At 40.2% G+C, this 20,021-nt stretch overlaps 2 annotated features.

The window, feature by feature from the left end:
• Window positions 1,793-2,306: an enhancer, noted in NCBI's record as "H3K27ac-H3K4me1 hESC enhancer chr2:145114539-145115052 (GRCh37/hg19 assembly coordinates)". NCBI's record gives its function as "activates a minimal SCP1, AML or CMV promoter by ChIP-STARR-seq in naive H9 embryonic stem cells {active_cell/tissue: H9 hESC(naive)}" and the evidence as "EXISTENCE:reporter gene assay evidence [ECO:0000049][PMID:30033119]".
• Window positions 19,149-19,198: an enhancer, noted in NCBI's record as "active region_16603". NCBI's record gives its function as "activates an Ori minimal core promoter by ATAC-STARR-seq in GM12878 lymphoblastoid cells {active_cell/tissue: GM12878}" and the evidence as "EXISTENCE:reporter gene assay evidence [ECO:0000049][PMID:35858748]".

Here is a 20,021-nt window from a genome sequence, read left to right on the forward strand (position 1 = left end):
GATAAAGGTTGTATGTTGTGCAACCAGGAAAGGACTGCTTGCAAACTCTGACGTTTGGGTTCTCCAGCCAAAGACCTTGGACAGGCATCATTAGGAGCAATAAATAAATGCAGCATCAGGACAGAGAGAGTGTGGATTTGCACCATCAGGAACAAAAGAGGAATTAACTTCCTGAAACTCCACTTTGTTTGTTTGTTTTTCAGATGAGGTCTCACTCTGTTGCTCAGGCTGGAGTGTGGTGGCACAATCATGGATCACTGCAGCCTCGACCTCCCCAGGCTCAGGTGATCCTCCCACCTCAGCCTCCTGAGTAGCTGGGACTATAGGCACATGCCACCATGCTCAGCTAATTGTTGTATTTTTATTTTTATTTTTTATAGAGACGGGGTCTGTGTCACCCAGGCTGGTCTAGAACTCCTGCCCTCATGCCAAATCTCCTTTCTGAAATATATTTTCTTCTATATTTCCCAATGTCTATGTAGAGTATCATTGTTTTTCCAGCCATCAAGGATAGAAAATGTGGTCATCTTTGATTTTTTTGGTTCTCCTCTATCTACCAATTCTGCTTTAACAAAAAGCCTGAACTCAGCAAGGTAGAAACAAGTAATGATTTTGCAGCTCCCCATCACTGTTTTCAATCATGTGCTGTTGAATTTCCTCTCTCTGTTCCTTAATACATCTTCAGCAGATCACAGAGCTTGTAGTTACTTTCTGTAGTCCAGATTAAGACTCATGTTCGTTTATTTAAAAGTCTAGTCCAGGTAAAATCAAATCTTTTCTTTGGTTTCCAGTTCAAAGCGTGTGACCTTATTCCATTGTGCAGGTTTCCTCCAGATCTGCAGTGACCTGAATTGGAGGCCCATCCCAGGTCAGGGGTCCCCCACTGTGGCTTACGAGTGGAGTCTTAGGATTTCACTGACCCATAGATTGTGGTGTGTCTCCTCTTCATCCTTTCCCATGTGGAAGTGTTTAGTGAGGTTATCTTGCTCCTATTCTGTCATTGCACATTGGTTGTGAAGGGGGTTAATAGCTTGTTATTTAATTTACAGTTATTTGGATCAAAATGAACCACTATCCAGACCTAATCCAGAGACTATCACAAGATCCTGAACTATAAGCTTAGTCCCATGAGTAAATAGGAATTTGGGATTATCTCTTTTGAGGAAAGAGTGAATAAATTGTGCAAAAGTAGGGAGTAGTATTATGTGACCAAGAGGGCAGATGGTGACAGATTGCATTCTTGTTCAGAATGTTTGTTACTCCTCCCTAAGGGGAACTAAACGCCCTCCCCCATGGACATCAGGCTTGCCCATGTGACTAACTTTGGCTAACAAAATGAGGGCAAAAGTGATAACTTTCCACTTCCCAGCAGAAGCTTTAAGGGGCTTTCCCTTTTGTCATGCCATAGCAGTGTCCAAGATGGAGTAGTTCCTTCACCCTGGACTCCAGAGTGAAGAGAACTCCAGACAGCCCCAGCAGACCTGCAGCCAACATGCAATGTGAACAAGGAATGACCTTTGTTTTCATAAATCACTAAGACTTGAGGGCTTTTTGTTACCACAGAATAACCTAGCCTAAGATTGCTATTAATTCTTAAATCGTTTTGCATGCCTCGTGTTTTCCTCTCCTCCTCAACCTTTGCTTATGCAAGACTGCATGGTTAAAGCTAGCTGGGCTTTGCTTCTAATCCTGACTCTACCATTTTTTACGTGTGTTACTTTGGGTAAGTCACTTGATCTCTCATCAGTTCATCTTAAAAATAAAGCAAATGGTACTAGGATATGAATGCCTAGCATAATATAAGCACTTGATAAAAGTTTTCTACTAAATTTTGTTCCTCACAGGAGATGTTGGTATGAAGGACTAGTTATTTACTTGAATTTTTGTTCTTGTTGTTCAGTAATTTCCCAGTAATACTTCTAGCTCCTATTTCTTCCTTCAAAGATTTAAGAAATCTGAAAAAGATCCTTACATACGTTCTACTCTCCTCTAATAGGAGACTTAACTTACGTTATTTTCTTTGTCTACCTCTGAAATCTCTATGTACTATATTTACAATTTCATAATTTACTAATGTTACGGACTTCTGTATTCATGCCTCATCCTCATCTTCATACGCCTTACTATTTTTTTTTTGAGATGGAGTTTTGCTCTTGTTACCTAGGCTGCAGTGCAACGGCGTGATCTCCGCTCACTGCAAGCTCCGCCTCCCGGGTTCAAGTGATTCTCCTGCCTCAGCCTCCTGAGTAGCTGAGACTACAGGCACGTGCCACCACGCCCAGCTGATTTTTTTGTGTTTTTAGTGGAGATGGGGTTTCACCATGTTAGCCAGGCTGGTCTCGAACTTCTGACCTCAGGTGATCCGCCTGCCTCGGCCTCCCAAAGTGCTGGGATTACAGGCGTGAGCGCCTGCCCCCAGCCACCATACTCTTAACTTTTGTGAGGACAGGGACTATATCTTATTCATCTTTATAACTCTTTAGGACTTAGCTCACAATTATGTATGACAGTTAATAGATGAAATATTTACCCTTTTCTAGATAACAAAATGATGAAATTATTTTTCAAGCTATCCTAATGAAGGGAATTTTACATGAATATGTGCCCCCCTGGTCTATCATAATCAGAGGTTTACGCCTTAATCTTCCAAAGACAGACCTGCTTAGAAGATGCCTGACCAGTCCCCTTTGACAAATTGGAATGGTCTGAAATGAGGCATGCAGAGCTAAAGATCTCATTTAAAATATTTTCCCAGGGTTAGAAAATATCATTTGGAAACTTGAAAGCCAAAGGCTCTGTTTTTAAAAAATAAATTAAAAATTTGGAATTGTATGTTGTCTTTGTTTTTAGCAAGACTCAAGTTCCTAGCTGACTTCTGTTTGTTTGTTTTCTCTGGGAACCAAGTAGCCGCACTACACCCAAGCATGTATCATTTCACGACAATGACTCAGAAAGCAGTGCAGATGTCATGGCTTACCTAGTCCCTAAAAAATGCCTACCATGCAGGAAATGAAATAAGGTTCTTGGACTCAGCAGAAATGGGGTGAGGATAAAGAGGCTGCTTTGAATTTGTGGGCTTTCCCGGACTGCTTTGGAAACATCTCATGCAAATCCAAACAGTATCTGGGTCACAGATAGTTTTTGACCAGTAATTTCTGAATATACTTCTGGTCTTCTAGTATACTTAGAGGTAGTAGGTCTATTTGGAAAAATAAAACAATTTGAATAATTTAGATAGTTTGATACACTTCTACCAGTGAGGATCTTTTTCTTTTTCGTAACAGTCTGCCATTCCTGGAACCATTTCCAAGGCCTAAAATTTTATTATACCGAGCAACAGATAGAATCCAGTCATCTAGTGCTTCTACCAACAACTTAAATATGCATGATCCGTTGTTTCTGAGTATGGCTTTTTTGTGGCTCTCTCTCTATATATAAATTTAGTCCAGCTTTTTAACCAAGAGACAGCTTGCTAGAAACATGAATTGTATCATTGTATTTGACTAAACATTTAGTCTGTAACTCTTATGACTTTAGAAGCCTGTCAGATGCTATTTGGAAACTTTCTCTTTAGTCTTGGTTATAATAAACCAAAAGTACCTAGAATTCTATGGGACATAGACTGTCAGGAAATGTTGAGTGTATCATTTTTGGGGAAAAGCAGACACTTTTACAAGAAGACTTCAATATGCAAATAAGAAAAGATTTAAGAATATGCAAATAGAAAAACATTTAAGAATGAGGAAGGATTTAAGAAGAATAGAACCATCAAGATGTAAAGCAAATCATTTCATACTTACTTTGAGATCCAGGCTTGTATACTATTCTAAAATGGGGGCTGTTACATTTCTGCCATGACAGAGAAGTTTTTGGGGGGAAATCCCAACGATGACCACAGCCTAAAAATGCACAGCTTAGAGGGGAGTTTCCAATGGACTTGGTCTTCAGCCAAGCCCCAGGTCATTCATTCAAAGTGCCCCTGCAGTATAACTAAATGCTTGTCCTGATCTAGCATCAGCATTTATGCATAGATAATAGGAGTTAGTACTAAGAATCCTCAGGGGGAGAGATGTACTGTGAAGATGTGAGCTGCGTTACATTCAAGGACATCAGCTAGCACAGTGTTGAAGACAATCAGCCCTGACTGAATCTGTGTGTCAGTGTTACGGCTTGCTCAGTTAGGACTCCAGTGAAAACCAGCAACAACAAATGACTACGACATTACTCAGCAAAAAATATAGTTTTGTCTCTTTTCCTAGTTTGTGATGAAGGCAAAGAACCCTCAGTAGGCATCTTTTGTTTAAGCAATAGACAAACAGAAAGAAAAAAAAAAGCATTTTAGACTATCCATCATGGCATTTGAATATTGAGTATTTTACTGACATTTCAGTTCCCACCATCACACTCTAAATAGTGTAAGAATGTTTTATTCGGCAACAAGAAGGAGACAGTGGAGCAAGAATAGAGTTTGGAGTCTCATAGACTTCAGCATAAATGCTGCCTCTGTCATGGGACAAGTTGTTTAAACTTACTGAGTTCCAGTTTCTTCTCTTTCAGTTATTGTCAGATTGAATGATATGGATTAGAGAACTAGACCATGCTTCTTGCAGGTACAGACCGTGACCCATTCTTCTTGGTATTCCTGGTGCTTGGCAAACAGTGTTTATTGATTGAATTAATGAATGAACAAATGATATACTGATGCATTAGCAAGTATGAGCCTGGCTCAATAAATGTAAGTGGTCAATAAATGTTCATTTCCTCTGGGTAAAGTAGCTGTGGGATTATCCTCAGAGTCAGTCTGGGGTGTTAACAGCTCCCTCCTTTTATACCAGGATTGAATTTTGGCCTACACCAGGACTTGAATTTTGATGAGGATAAGTGGGGATACATTGCCAACTGTAGGAATTACATTTATTGGTCCACTTCCAAAAAGAGTGAAATGGAGAAAACATGTAGGGAAGAACAAACCTGATCTTGACAAAATCTTTTTCATGGGCGAAATGTCACTTTGCTTGCATGAATTCTGCAGTTCAGCCATGGGGATACAATTGAATTCTTTTAGTAATTATTTATTCTTTTAGATGAATGCCTAATCTTTTTGGAGAATTTAGTCAAGGTAAACAGACCTCAAACATTCTTCTGAATTAGACTCTTATTTACCTCATTTTTCATATGAAAAGTCTGAACAGGTTGTTAAATTGAAGTCACATATGTGTCGTTCAATATTTTAGCAATTTATACATTGTGTAATTTTTTATTTTATTTTATTTATTTATTTTTTATTTTGAGATGGAGTCTCGCTCTGTTACCGGGGTTGGAATGCAGTAGGCGTGAACTTGGCTCACTGCAACCTCCGCCTCTCAGGTTCAAGCGATTCTCCTGCCTCAGCCTCCTGAGTTGCTGGGATTACAGGTGCCCGCCACCTCACCTGGCTAATTTTTGTACTTTTTAGTAGAGACAGGGTTTCACCATGTTGGCTAGGCTGGTCTCAAACTCCTGACCTCAAGTGATCCTCCTGCCTTGGCCTCCCAAAGGGCTGAAATTATAGGCATGAGCCACCACACTGGGTCGGCATTGTATAATTTAAATAAATACTTAAAGGAACATTTCCATATATATGATTATTGTGTTATAAATAATGAGCTTTATTATATTGTTGTTGTTGCACTGTAAAAGATACCATTATTATAACTGAAGCCATGTGGGGCTTTTTTTTTTTTTTTCTAGTCAGTAGAAACACTGACATAACACTTCCAATGCACATCAGAATTACTTTGAATGTTTGCTTATAAATTATTGAAAGAATAAGAGTGTAAACTGTAGCATATAAATGATATAAAAAGAAATGAATGCATGAATTATATTCCAGTTAAAGAAGGTTTCTTTTCAAATAATCAGCACAGGAAAGGATGAGCTAATGTCATTTTCCTGAAGTTACTTTCATCCTTGAAGACACACCTTGTGTTAGCAATCTGGGGGCTTGCTTTTTAGCAAGTCAAGACGTCACTGGAGTAATCATAAATCTTCACATATAATGGAAATTTTGAGTTAATTGGCAGCACAAATTCTCGGTGTGATAACTCAGGGTTGGCATTGATTAGTATGACTTTTTCAAGACCGACAAGCAAAGACCATAAGAATGAATTGTATATCCAAGATATAAACCCTTGTGCTCTGACTACAAAATTCAAATGTTACTGAATTCATGGAAAGTTTCTGAAGGAACCTAAATGGGAAGTGGAGGTAGATTGAAAAGGGGAGAAAGGGGACCACACCTTTTTTTTTGGAGACTGAGTCTTGCTCTGTCACCCAGGCTGGGGTGCAGTTGTGTGATCTTGGCTCACTGCAACCTCGGCCTCCTGGGTTCCAGCGATTCTCCTGCCTTGGCCTCCTCAGTAGCTGGGATTACAGGCGCACACTGCCACACCAGGCAAATTTTTTGTATTTTTAGTGGAGACGGGGTTTCACTGTGTTGGTCAGGATGGTCTCGAACTCCTGAGCTCAGGCCATCCACCTGGCTTGGCCTTCCAAAGTGCTGGGATTGCCGGCGTGAGCCACTGCACCTGGCCTACACTTTTTAATTTGACTACTAAACCTCAAATTCAGCAGGAAAATGTTAATTATTTTGAGGGAAATAGTGGCAAAGAACAAGGTTATAGCCCTTTCCAGTGGAGAGGCAAATGGGCAGCTACAAGGAATCAGCTTCTTTTCCTCATATAGAGAAAACTCTAAATGACCATTTCAGCTCCCCCTGTAGGATCAGCTGTAGACTCAAATGCAACCAAATTGCAGACCAGTTTCTCCTTCCACCTAGTCTCTCCTTCCTTCCTTCCTTCCTTCTTTCCTTCCTTCCTTCCTTCCTTCCTTCTTTCCTTCCCTCCCTCCCTCCCTTCCTCCCTCCCTCCTTCCTTCCTTCCTTCCTTCCTTCCTTCCTTCCTTCCTTCCTTCCTTCCTTCCATGCAGGTCTGTCTGCTGAGATCACATCCCAGTGAACATTTTGCACACCACTGTCAGACTCAGAGTCTATTCCCAGATAATCCAATTTAAGCTAGCTACAATTGATTATAACTATTATCACTTCTTGGAGACGTTTGATATTATGCCTATTACCCATCAGACCCCAAAGCATCCAAGTTATTCTGAACTGACAGAGGGTCCTGTGGAGTCAGCACTTCATTCTCTTGGCCCTGGCTCTGTCCATTCTCTACATCTTCCCCTTTCCCATAGCCCAGTCCTCAGGTTCTGTGGATTGAAAGCGGAGTCTGCTGTATTCAATACTCTAGTGAGACACAATTGCTTGTTAACACCAAATCCCACTGTAGTGCAATGGTTTGCAGCTTTAGTGTTCCCAGACACTTTGGATTCTAGAATATTTGGTGGCTCACTCAGAGAGATTCCTTTGCATCTATAAATATAACCTTTAATAACCTGTCAGTGTTACATCACTGGTTGCATAGAGTTGTTTGTTGTCTTTTCAGGATTCTTGAAAATATTTCCAAGGCAAGGTCCTTGAGTGTTTCAGAAAATATGTAACTTTCAGAGATTACAGGCTGCTCTCATGCTACTTTTGAAACTTTATCTGTTGCTTACCTAGTGCTCTGCACTGCAATATGTAACCTACCTAGCTCAATATTGCTTCTGGAATATATAGTAAAATCAGCAAAATCATTTATTGTAGCAAAAATAAAAAATGACCCATTGATCATTGAATTTGGTAGCACACAATCAAAAGACGTGATGGCTGGGTGTAGCGGCTTACGCCTGTAATCCCAGCACTTTGGGAGGCTGAGGTGGGCGGATCACAAGGACAGGAGTTTGAGACCAGCCTCACCAACATGGAGAAACCCCATCTCTACTAAAAACACAAAAATTAGCCAGGTGTGGTGGCACACACCCGTAATCCCAGCTACTCAGGAGGCTGAGGCAGAAGAATTGCTTGAACCCGAGAGGCGGAGGTTGCAGTGAGCCGAGATCTGGTCATTGCATTCCAGCCTGGGCAACAGAGTGAGACTACGTCTCAAAAAAAAAAAAAGGTGTTGTGATATACTTGTTGAAAACTACTTCTGAAACTCGGAACTTTATTAGTCATTGCAGTGTACAATATACTTCCAGCGCACTGTATGTATCTGTTTTTTTTTTTTTTTTTTTTTTTTGAGATGGAGTCTCGCTCTGTCGCCCAGGCGGGAGTGCAGTGGCGCAATCTCAGCTCACTGCAAGCTCCGACTCCCGGGTTCACGCCATTCTCCTGCCTCAGCCTCCCCAGCAGCTGGGACTACAGGTGCCCGCCACCACGCCCAGCTAATTTTTGTATTTTTAGTAGAGACGGGGTTCCACCATGTTAGCCAGGAGAGTCTCGATCTTCTGACCTCGTGATCTGCCTACCTCAGCCTCCAAAAGTGCTGGGATTAAAGGCGTGAGCCACTGCGCCCGGCCGCATCTGTATTTTGTAACTCCCCAGTCCATTCTACAGTGAGTTATTTGAACCTGAACCAACATTTAAAATCAGAGTCATGTTGTTCAGAGTGTGTAAACCAAAATGGGTAGACCTCTACAGAATGATATGTGAAGAGGGCTGACATTTGACTGCACGCAGTCTAAGTCCAGTACCCTGTACTATGGGACATTTATACTGTCACAACTGATGAATCAATTGGCCCCAGGTAGTACACGCCATTGTTTCTAAGTGTATGAGTAACACTGGAATCAGAATCACCTGGAATCCATGAAAAAATGCACATTCCCAGGTCCCACCCCAAACCTTTGAAATCAGGATTTGGAGGCATCATGCCCAGAAGGTATGCTTTTAGCAAGCTTCCCATGTAGTTTTTCTTTTTCTTTTCTTTTCTTTCTTTCTTTTTTTTTTTTTTTTTTTTTTTGAGACAAAGTCTCACTCTGTCACCCAGGCTGGAGTGCAGTGGCATGGTCTCAGCTCACTATAACCTCTGCCTCCTGGGTTCAAGCAATTCTTGTGCCTCGGCCTCCTGAGTAACTGGGATTACAGGCATGCACCACAACATCCAACTAATTTTTGTATTTTTAGTGGTGATGAGGTTTCACTACATTGGCCAAGCTGGTCTCGAACTCCTGGCCTCAAGTGATCCACCCACCTCAGCCTCACAAAGTGCTGGGATTACAGGCATGAGCCACTGCGGCCGGCCTTCCTTCCTTCCTTCCTTCCTTCCTTCCTTCCTTCCTTCCTTCCTTCCTTCTTCCTTTCCTTCCTCTCTCCCTCCCTCTCTCTTTCTCTCTTTCTTTCTTGACACGGGGTCTCACTCTGTTGCCCAGGTTGGAGCATGGTGGTGGCCTGAACATAACTACAACTCCACTACAGCCTTGACCTTCCCAGGCTCAGGTGATCCTCCCACCAAAGGATCCTGAGTGGCTGGGACTACAGACGTGCGCCACCACACCCAGCTAATTTTTTCATTTTTTGTAGAGGCAGGGTTTTGCCGTGTTACCCAGGCTGGCCTTGAACTCCTGGGTTCAGGCAGTCTACCTGCCTCAGCCTCCCAGTGTGCTGGGGTTACAGGTGTGAGCCACCGGTCCTGGCCTTTCCTTCTTTCTAAGAAAGAAAATTTTTAAGGAGAGGAATACCAAATGGCACACTAATCCTTCTGCCCTTTTGAACACAAGCTAATCCTCTGTACTATATTTACTTTTTAAAAACCTTTTATTATGGTTTTCAAAATGTCTTCTTTTCTCTACTTCTGAGCCCAGCATTTCTCTGAAAGCTCTATATTTTTTCACAATGACACTCTTGGAGGCAATAGTGAGGGTTCAGACAGGCTGCAGGCAGAAACTGATGGGGTTGGGGATTGGGGCCTTATCTACTAATATTGTCTTTCCTTATATATTGTTTCTATTTATCTAACTACTTCAGTGATGTGTAACCCCTCCTCCCCAGACTGGTCACTGTGTAGTGTCATGTTCAGGGAAACTCCAGTCTGGCCACAGGGTCCAGAAGAATAATGAACCTATTTACTATGAGTAAAGAGGTGAAACAGGGGTTTTGTAACATGTACCACACAGAAAGCTTCTGAACAATATTTAGGCTTCTCTGTTTCTCCCTAAAATTTCCCCTGCTGGAATCGTGTCTCTCCCATTTCTCCACCATATAGCTCCCTCACTGTTTTGCTATCTTAGGTCCACCTCTTTCTCACAATGCATCCTCATACATCATACTTCCCAGGTGGGCCTGCCCCTCCTGACACTCTGGAAAGAGACATCTGTTTTTTTACTCTGTCTTTTTTCTTATGAGACTCTGCATCTCTTCCTCTCCCTGAAATTCTGCTGAATAACATCCCATTCCTTACAGACAATTAGCTGACCTGTTGAATCCTCCACAGGGGACAATACCACAGGAATCCGAAAGGCAAAAATGATCATGTTCCGCTCCAGAACCAAGCACTTAGCTCTTCTTCTCTGGAGGCATGTGAGTCATAAACTGGAAGAAAAGAGAAAGAGGAGAGAGAAAGGGAGAGAGTTCCAATTTTACCAGCGCTCTTTGTGGAGACTGAGGATGCCCTTTTCTTTTTTTGCAAAAAAATCCCCACCAGGTTTTCCCATTTCCTTGTAAAACATCAGACACATAGTAGATAGGCACTTCATGTTGGTTATTAAATGTCATTCCACAAAGTAGACAAAAATGAAGTTTTCCAGCTAACACCAAATTGGTTTTATATCAATTTTTTGAAGTCTTGTGAATTTTCTTAAAACTTATCCTGAATCAAGTATAATTACAGATAAGCATTCAAATATGAAAACATGAGGAAGTCTAGGATTATCTGCCACCTTGTATTATTTTGCTATTGCTACTCTCTAGTTATGAGTTGACTGTACCAATAAAAATCTAAATTATATCTAAGATCAAAATCAAGATAGAGGAAGAAGAATAACATTAATATATGCTAAGGACAGTTGCTGTCTGCATGTATCACTTCATTTGTTTTTGCAATAATCCTATAAATGAGATGTTGCTAACCCATTTTATGAATGAGAAAACTAACAGAGGCTCAGAGTGATAAATAACTTGCTCAAGGCCATAAGAACAAAAAAAGTAAAACCAGGATTTGCACTCAGATTTGTCAGGCCCTCGAGTCTGTAATCTTTATTCACCACTACGACATGCTGTCTTTTTCTTTTTTTTTTTTTTTTTGAGATGGAGTCTTATTCCATCACCCAGGCTGGAGTGCAGTGGTGCAATCTCAGCTCACTACAATCTCTGCTTTCCGGGTTGAAGTGCTTCTTGTGCCTCAGTCATTTGAATAGCTGGTATTACAGGTGTGCACCACTACACCCAGTAATTTTTATATTTTTTTCATAGAGACAGGGTTTCGCCGTGTTGGCCAGGCTGGTCTCGAACTCCTGACCTCAGGTGATCCACCCAACTCGGCCTCCCACAGTGATAGGATTACAGGCGTGAGCCACCACGCCCGGCCAACATGCTGCCTTTTAATCCTGAATTTTATTCCACTTTGGGGAGTTGTCTTGGGCTTACTCTAGCTATTTTGTAAATGATGAAGAATCATTTCTGTCTAGTTAAGCTTTAAACACCAAAGAACAAAGTGCATCATATTTCTACATATGAAAAGTCATTTGGAGTGTTGTATAGAGGATTGTCGTTTTGAAGCACTCTCACACATAGTAATTGCTGACCCAGTACAAGAATCTAACACAATTTGCCAGAGTCTTATTTATTATTTTGTACTAAAGCCAGAGAACCTAGAAATCCAGTTCAGTATTGGCTTTCCAACTCCTGAGCTGAAAGAGAGCCAGGTAGAGCAAACTGCCTTTCTCACTGTCTTTTTTCCAGAGGCCCCAAGCTAAAGGCATCAATCACATTTGCCCCCATATTCCAACTTTAGTAGTTGAGTGTGACAGTGTGATTCAGCCGCTTTTGTTCAATGTCTCTTATTTTATTCTACTACCTCATTCTTTTTTTTTCCTTTTTGTTCCACTTTTAGCTCAAGTTTCTGGGCATATAAAAATAAAATGTAAAATGTGATAGGTGCATGTGTTAGTGATTTACAGAGGTGGATTCCAGCTTCCTTTTAAGGCCAGAACTATGGATATTGCTTTTGTTTTATTGTTCCTTATCTATCCAACTGTGCTGTAAGTTTCCTTTAGGACAGAATCCAGGTTTCATTCATTTTTGTAGCCTCCTTTCTCCCTGCGATGCTTATCCCGGTGTCTTGCACATTGGAGGCCTTCAATAAATGCTTATTGAAATACATATGTAAATACATATGGATGATAAAGGCAATGGAATTCTATATACGTCCAGCATCAAAGAAAGTAACCTCAATGTCTCAATGGTTTAAAAACTTTTGTTGTAGTCTAAATGAGTTTGAAATGTTTAATTCAAAACTGGCAAAGGCCTCTGTGTCATTTAGGATGCTTTTGGCTGCAAGTAACAGAATAACCAACTAAAAGTGGCTTCAAGAGTAAGGTTAAATGAGATGATATGACAGGAGGTCTGGGGGAAGATAGTTTCAAAGTTGGTGTGGTGCCCAAACAATATAATCAAGGACGTGGGCTCTTGGCATCCTTTGTTCTTTCTTCCTGAGTGTCTCATGGTTGCCAGATGGATGCTTCATATCTAAGTAATCTTGTCTTCCCAGAACTTATTTCAAAGGTAGGAAAAAAGAGGCTAGGGAGGGTTTTGTTACACATCTTTCTCCTTTTATCAGAGAGGAAATTTTTCCAAGAGGTCTTTCAGAATACTTTCCCTTTCCTTTTGATGGCTTGAAAGGGTTACCCCTATGTCACTGGCATCTGGCGAATGGAATTATCATGCACTGTGATTGGCTTAGACCACTCACAGTTCATCCACTTGGAGTAGAACAGAGTTCTACCTTTTGAAAAGTCTCCTTAAATTAGCTCCCTGCGGTCTCCTACTTGAACAACATCAGGATTCTGGCCATAGGAAGAAATGGGGAAGAGCTGTTGGGGAGGAAAACAGCAGCATCTGTTAACTCCTATGTGAAATAATTTGTTGCAAGCAGTTTCTACCAGAGATATGAGCTAGTTTGTGAGATACTTAGACCCCAAAACAGGGGTCAGAGCTCATGTTTATTTATTGCGTGCCTATTACCAACATATCTGACATTATTTAATCCATGCACCATCAATCTAGATGAGGATACTAAGGCCCAAGAAGGCAAAAAAATTGCTCAAATCTGCACATAAGTTTGAGGCAGGCTTGAGATTGAGATCTATGTCCTTGTGACTCTAAAACCTATGCTCTTTTCTCCATGTTTTAGGGAGAATTTCTTTTCAGTTTGGGATATTTTTACTCTTAAGAGAACTCCTAACCAATTCTTGAAGTTCTGTGACCCAGCAAAAAACATCCTAGTATACCACAACCTGCTCAGGCCTAGAGAAGCTTGACTCTAGAGCAGCAGTTCTTCACCACTGTGGAGAAGCATCTTGATGTGTTTCAATCAATTATGAACCAGAGCAAAAGGTATCCATTATCTATAAGAGTTAAATATTGGAGTTTGACAATACTATTTTTAGTTTATAAAGGAGGGGGTGGAAATCCTCACTTTGACTCACTTGCCTTCCAGTATAAAGCAAAGCCTTGGGTGCGAAAGAAATGCCAGCAATTTCATATGACCTGTAACCTAACTTACTAGGGTATGGTAAATGCCTTCTACATAGTTATCCTGTGCAACATGGGTGTCCTGACACACACACACACACAAATGTGGAGAATCATTAGATACCATAAATCTACTCCTGGCTTCACATTTTTGGAAAGAACATCTTCTCAGGTTGTAGCTGCTATTTCTGGAGGCTGGGATATTATATTTTTTAATGTTTCTTTCTTGAAAGGAGCAAAATAGTTCTACCGTAAGTATAATCATATGAATCTGTAATTGCCTCCTCAGTGTCTATCCCCACTTCTCCTCACAGTAACCTAATTTTTCCCAGAAAATATCTCACCCCTATTCCCAGCCATATGGTTAAAATGGGATGGATCCCACTCCAGGGAGTGAATCATGATTGGCCAGAGCTTATCATTCTTTTGCTTCCTTAAATTTAGACCTTTCACACGTTTAACTAAATGAGATCATAATATAGTCATTTTATATATGTGAGTGTTACAAACATTAGTTTATAAACAATTTTAAAATATTAAAATTTGTATAAATCCTGTTTTGGCATATTTTGTCCAAATTTTAATATAATGGAAGAGGCCTAGGCTTCTCTTGTCATCTGAGAGCTCTGATCTAGACCACTGATTCCAGACCAGTGACCTCTTCACTAGCTTGGTTCTTCACTAGCTGCAGTTCTCAACTGAGGCATCTGAGTCCCACAGAGAATAGATCACCTGCAAGCTCTGTTGGATCCTGTGGCCCCACTGTGCTGTATCTGCCCATTTATACACCTCTGCACCCACCCCTGTTAAAATTAAAGAAATTGAACTCTCTCTCTCTCTCTCTCTCCCTCTCTCTCTCTCTCTCCCTCTCTCTCTCTCTCTCTTTCTCTCCTTTCTCTGTTTTAACTTTAGGCCTTGGTCTAAAGGTCTGGCTCTAAGAGGGATCTGAAAGGAACACTCTTTAACCTTGACTTTAAACTCACTCTTTCATCAAAACACTGATTCTCTGACACCTCTAATAACTTTAGTATATCTTTACTGCCTCAAATTATATCTAAAAGAAAATCTGAAATAGTATTTATACCTTTATTTGGAAGGAGAAGGAAAATTGAAAAAAATTATTTTAAAAATAAGGATAGCTTTTTATTTTTTAAGGAAGTAACTAAGCTGGATGTTACATGTTAATCCAGTCTTAGAATGTAAGATAATTCTTTACATTCCTAAGCCCTCAGGATATTCCTGCCAGGTACATTCTTAAATTTGAGAACACAGAACTTTGAGATGGAGAGTAGCTCTTACTCATTGTGTCCTGGTGATGTTGGTTTCTTAAGAACAAAGCATACAAAGCCTGGTTTTCTCAAAACCTTCTGTACTGGGGACTTCCTTATCATATAAAGGTATCCTGATGGTACTTTTTCCTAGCTGAAGTTTTCAGATGAAAAGAATAGTACCCTGAAAGAGTAATTGGTCCATCTTTAGTCCATATTGAAGAAAAGGAAAAGAAAACAAAGGAGGAGAAGGGGGAAAGAGAAGAAGAGGAAGGAGAAGAAGCAGCTGAGGACAATGCATTGCTTTATCTTTGACTTTGGACTTTGCCAAAGGCATCTGGATATAGTTTCCTGGCTAATGCCACTTTCACTGGTGTCCATTATCTAAAATTGTTCAGTATCCACATCATGCGATTCAGCACTCTGGAACACTATGACACCTACGGAGCCTCAACAGATCTAAGCCAATACAGAGAAGATTACACTCCGGTAAAGGTTAAACTAAAACCAAATAAGGTAATATGAAAGAACATGCAAATATCCATTCTTTACATTGACCAATTATAGCACCTTTTAATAAAATGAATTAGATTAAAAAATAATGTTGATTTGGGAGGATGTGTTCATTCTGTAGTCTCATACAATGTTATAATGATCAACTCTACAGGATCATTACACTACGATAATATAAAATAGATATTTCTAATCGAAGCAGTTATTTTGTTAAACCACAGATGGCATAAATATCCTTATACATGATGCAATTGGAATTGGTAATAAATTTATTTTTCTCCCCATTTATGGCAGAAGACCTGTTAAGTGTGTGCCTGAGGGGCTAAAATTAAGAATGAGGGAAAACACTGCTTAATAAAGTTGGGATCAGGCATTTTAAAAGAATGCTTATGTTCAAAACAGCTAGAGAGCTGACCCGTTTATAGGAAATAGTTCTGCCAGAATTAGAAGTGGAAATAAGGAGACGATAATGAAATACAGTTTAACCAGTAAAGGGCAGTGAACATATGTATCACTCCACACCACACAAATATGCTGCCTGTTTAGATAAAGTTGTGGTTTCTTTTGTCAAGCTATTCTATTTCCTGTTAGAAAGGCTAACTTTGAAATACCACTTTCAGGAATGGGAGATAGAATAAAAACTTTATTAAATTGCTTAAATTATTTCCTCAAATTTCTTTCATGTTGTTTGCAATAATGAGATGAAATATCCTCATAAGTTTCCCATTTATACATAGCTTATGGGAAATAAGGATTCAGTCTTAACTGCTTGCTAATGGTCAAGCATTTACATCTGGATGTCACTAGAAGGTGTTTTTTTTAGGTGAAAGGTCAAAGTCCAAGTGGCAATGACCTATCAATCAGGCACTTGCCTCGTGTATGGTTACATTCCAGCCATATTTACCTATATTGGGCAGAGGGCGACTCAAGTGGTTTTCTTTCCTCTTCCCCCTATGATGCAAGGAGGCTGTACATTAGCAACATAGGTCATGCCTAATATTGCTATTTGCTCTGAGTTCTTAATTAACAATTGTGAGAAATAAGTAATTAATACTGATGAGTGTAGATATAATTTAATTTATCATAGTATGGATTTTTTATTTTATAGTTTAAATATAAAGTCAATTTTTGGTCCCCTTCAAAGGCGTTTATAGCTAAAAGTCAAGGAATCTCGTGAGCTCATCATTTTCTTAGCATGCCCCACTCCTCACGTTTCCACGCCTTTGAGCATTGCTCTCTGTTTTCAACCTGATAAATAAACTCCCATGATTCTTCTTCAAATAACCCCTTTTCTCTGAAAGCTGCCCTAGGTCCCCTAGGCAGAGATCTCATAGAGCAACTCAAGGCTGCTTCCTCTCTGCTCCTCCTGTAATAATCTGTTTGCATATGGACTTCCACATATTATTCCACATCTATTCCTGTTGTCTAGCACAATGACTGGCATTTACTGGTAATCAGTAATTATTTGTTTACAAATGACCTTTTTAAAAAGTTTGACTGGAGATGTATCCTGCCATTAGAGTATAAAAATATATCAAGACATACCACCTATTAGGTTATTAGAGGAATAAAAAGTAAGTAAACAGGAAGGTAAGAGTTAACATAATTCTAATCCATTTTGATTAACTGTAAACCTTAATATTCTTTCTATCTATCTGTTAATCAATCAAATCTTTTCATTTTTACAGTGGGAATGGTCTTTCAGGTTGCCATCTACATATATTTTTCAAGCCAATTTTCATGGAAACTTGTTTACATGAGCTATCATAGTGTTGTTTTCACAGAGGCTTCAGAAATATTTGGCTGAACAATACAGCTGAAAAAAAAAAAGATTTGAGGAACAAAAAGTACTAAAGAAAACCTTGTGTTCATCAGAATTAAAATTAGCTGAAGGAAAACAGTAATCATAAACTAAAAACCTTTTCCTGCTATTTGGATCTTCAGCTTTCATCTCTAGCAGCTTCCCCTCCTGAGCCTCCCGAGTTACGTAACAGGTCCCCATATGGGCCGATGAATCTGCCAGGCAAGGCTATCTCACGATTTAAAAGTCTCTCTTTAAAATATGCAAAAAGGCTAACGGAAGGTTCAATTTGTGAGCCCTGCCTCGGCTGCCTCCCATACGAAGCTTCACCCTGTGACTACTTCATTATCACTCTGGATTATCTGCTTAGAGTGGTACAGCAACCACATACCTAGAATCACGCAGAACAACCTCCTCATTTCTCATGCTCTGAGGCTCTTCCTTGGACTGATAATTGTCAAGCATTCCTTCCCCTTTGAGCAATCCTAGGCTAACGCCCACCAGGAAACAAAGGGTCTCTTTGAGGATGAAAATTGAGACTGTCCTGGCCCCCGAAAAATTACATGCTGGAAAATTTCTATGTACTGAAATGATTGTGTTCCTTTTAGAGAACTCTCTGTGGACCTAACTATAGGAGTAGGTTATCAAAGGGCAGCTTCCCTCAAACCCAAAAGGGAAGAAAGAAAGGACAACTGTGGGAGGAAGTCAGAGGAGAATCAATGAAATAAATGAACTCTCAATACTTTTGCCCCATAACAAGTGCCTGGGATGCTGGCTATTTGCAAACTATTTGCCATATATTGTCTCATTTGATTCTCACAACCATCTTGGGAAATAGTTATTGATATTGCTCCTATTTTAAAGATAAGTAAATTGAGGTTTAAGGATGTAACTTAGCCAAGGTCATACAGCTAGGGAGGGACAGAGCTGGGACTCCAACCAGGTCTTTTCACTAGAAAGCCTAGGCTCTTACTTCACAACTCTAAGAACTTCTTTTGTGTTAAACAAAGAAAGTGCTCTTAAACAGAATCTGCCCCGTATCATGGACTTTTTGGGAAGGAATCTAAGAATCCTTTACAACCTCTCATTTGATTGACAAGGAAACTATACCAGAATCCTCGGTTTAAATGTTCTGGTTTTGGTGTACTTGGCATTATGAGAAAAAAGCAAAATCACGAGAGTACCAGTCCATCTTACCAATTTTGCAAGAGTGGAGAAAAGCAGCTTCCAAGGAAAGCCTGTGTTCAGTGCACACTCAATCCTGTACAGTGAGAAGTGAAGCTTGTGATACTGACCCAGAGGAACTGCAAAGTTCTCCATCAACCCAGCTAGGGCCTTTGGGATCTGTAAACTTCATGCTCTGTGACAAAGGAGGCTGATAAAATTTACCAGGTACTGTCACAACAGCTGGAGAAAAAAGTTTGGTAATTGTGTCTGTGACTTAAGAAGTTCAGTTTATTTGTATATCTTAGTTTACAGAGGATTCCTGTTGGCAAAAGGGCTATTGTGTCTATGACCTTCCATTTGTTTGTCTTAACTTCATTTAAATAATTGTACACTGTCCAAAGCAAGAATAGTATCTGCTACCTCTTTTGTAATTATGCACAGTTCTCTAAACACAGAGGGTACTCAGAGTATGTTCTGGCATAAACATTTCAGTTACAAACACAGTGCATCTTCTAGTCTATCTCTTATGCGGAACTTCTGTAGCATCTATGGTGGAGTCGTTAATTTAAAAAGCCACTTAGGACTTAAGGAAGTAGTTACATTTCATGAGAAAAAACAGATGAGGACAGCATAATCACCTGCCATATAATAGATGCATATGCCTTTCGTTTTGTTTAAAAATTGCTAATAGAAAACCATACCTTTTCTCAGGCCTCCCACTGTCCTTCATTGCAGGATATATTACTCATGTCAGACCCAAATTTACCTCTGGCCCACACAAACCTGCTCTTATCTTGCTGATTGTTACCGTAAATTACTGACATCAGCAAAGCTTTGTCAGGAAACTGAGGTAATTGAAAACTCCAGAGAATTTGAAGAAAAGGCATCCCGGATTATTTTGGGCTTCTTCCTCTTTCATACAGTTCATGTTCCTTATCTGAGTCATTGCTTAAATAGCTTAACGGCTATGCTCGAACTCAGTATTACATAGAAGACCTGTTTATTCACATTTCCCTTTAACCTACCTCACTCAGATTGTGGTGCTCTTTGCCTCACTAATTTTACAAATCAATCAGCATCTGGATGTCAGCAGTGGAGGCTGATGCTGCTACACGCAGTTAGTGGTTATGTGAGAGACGAAATTGTTAATTTATGTGGGTTAACGTTGTGCCTCACTCTAGCCTTGTAAATCATTTTAAACATCTTCAGGTGCATTAAATTATGAATTTCTGGTTTACATTGGGGTGTGCCCATAGTCCCTTATGTTTACATCCCTCACTCCCCATGCTATTTTCTGTCTTGTCACTGAATTGTCCTTCTACTTGGCTAATGACCTAATTCAGTGGGGAACTAGGTGCTGCCGCCAGCCTGTTTCCAGAGGACCCACACATTATCTTGGTTCTTCTAGGGTTTCAGGCTTTGAGCTGGGCACTGGAGTCGGCACGCTCGTGGTGTCTTCCTTTCAGGAACACGTTGTCTTTGGGAAACGAACCCTTGGAGAAGTGCATGAATGAAGCATGTAGAGGATCTTTGCAGAAGCCCAGAGAAGGGGCATTTCTAAAATTAGGGTTTTAGGGAGGATCATCTTAGGGATGTGACCCTTGAGGTATGTTCTGATGGACAAAAAGAAAATAGAGCTGGGTGCAGTGGCTCACACCTGCCATCC

The sequence above is a fragment of the Homo sapiens genome, chromosome 2 (assembly GCF_000001405.40).
Source record: "Homo sapiens chromosome 2, GRCh38.p14 Primary Assembly".
In the NCBI taxonomy this organism is placed as follows: Eukaryota; Metazoa; Chordata; class Mammalia; order Primates; family Hominidae; genus Homo; species Homo sapiens.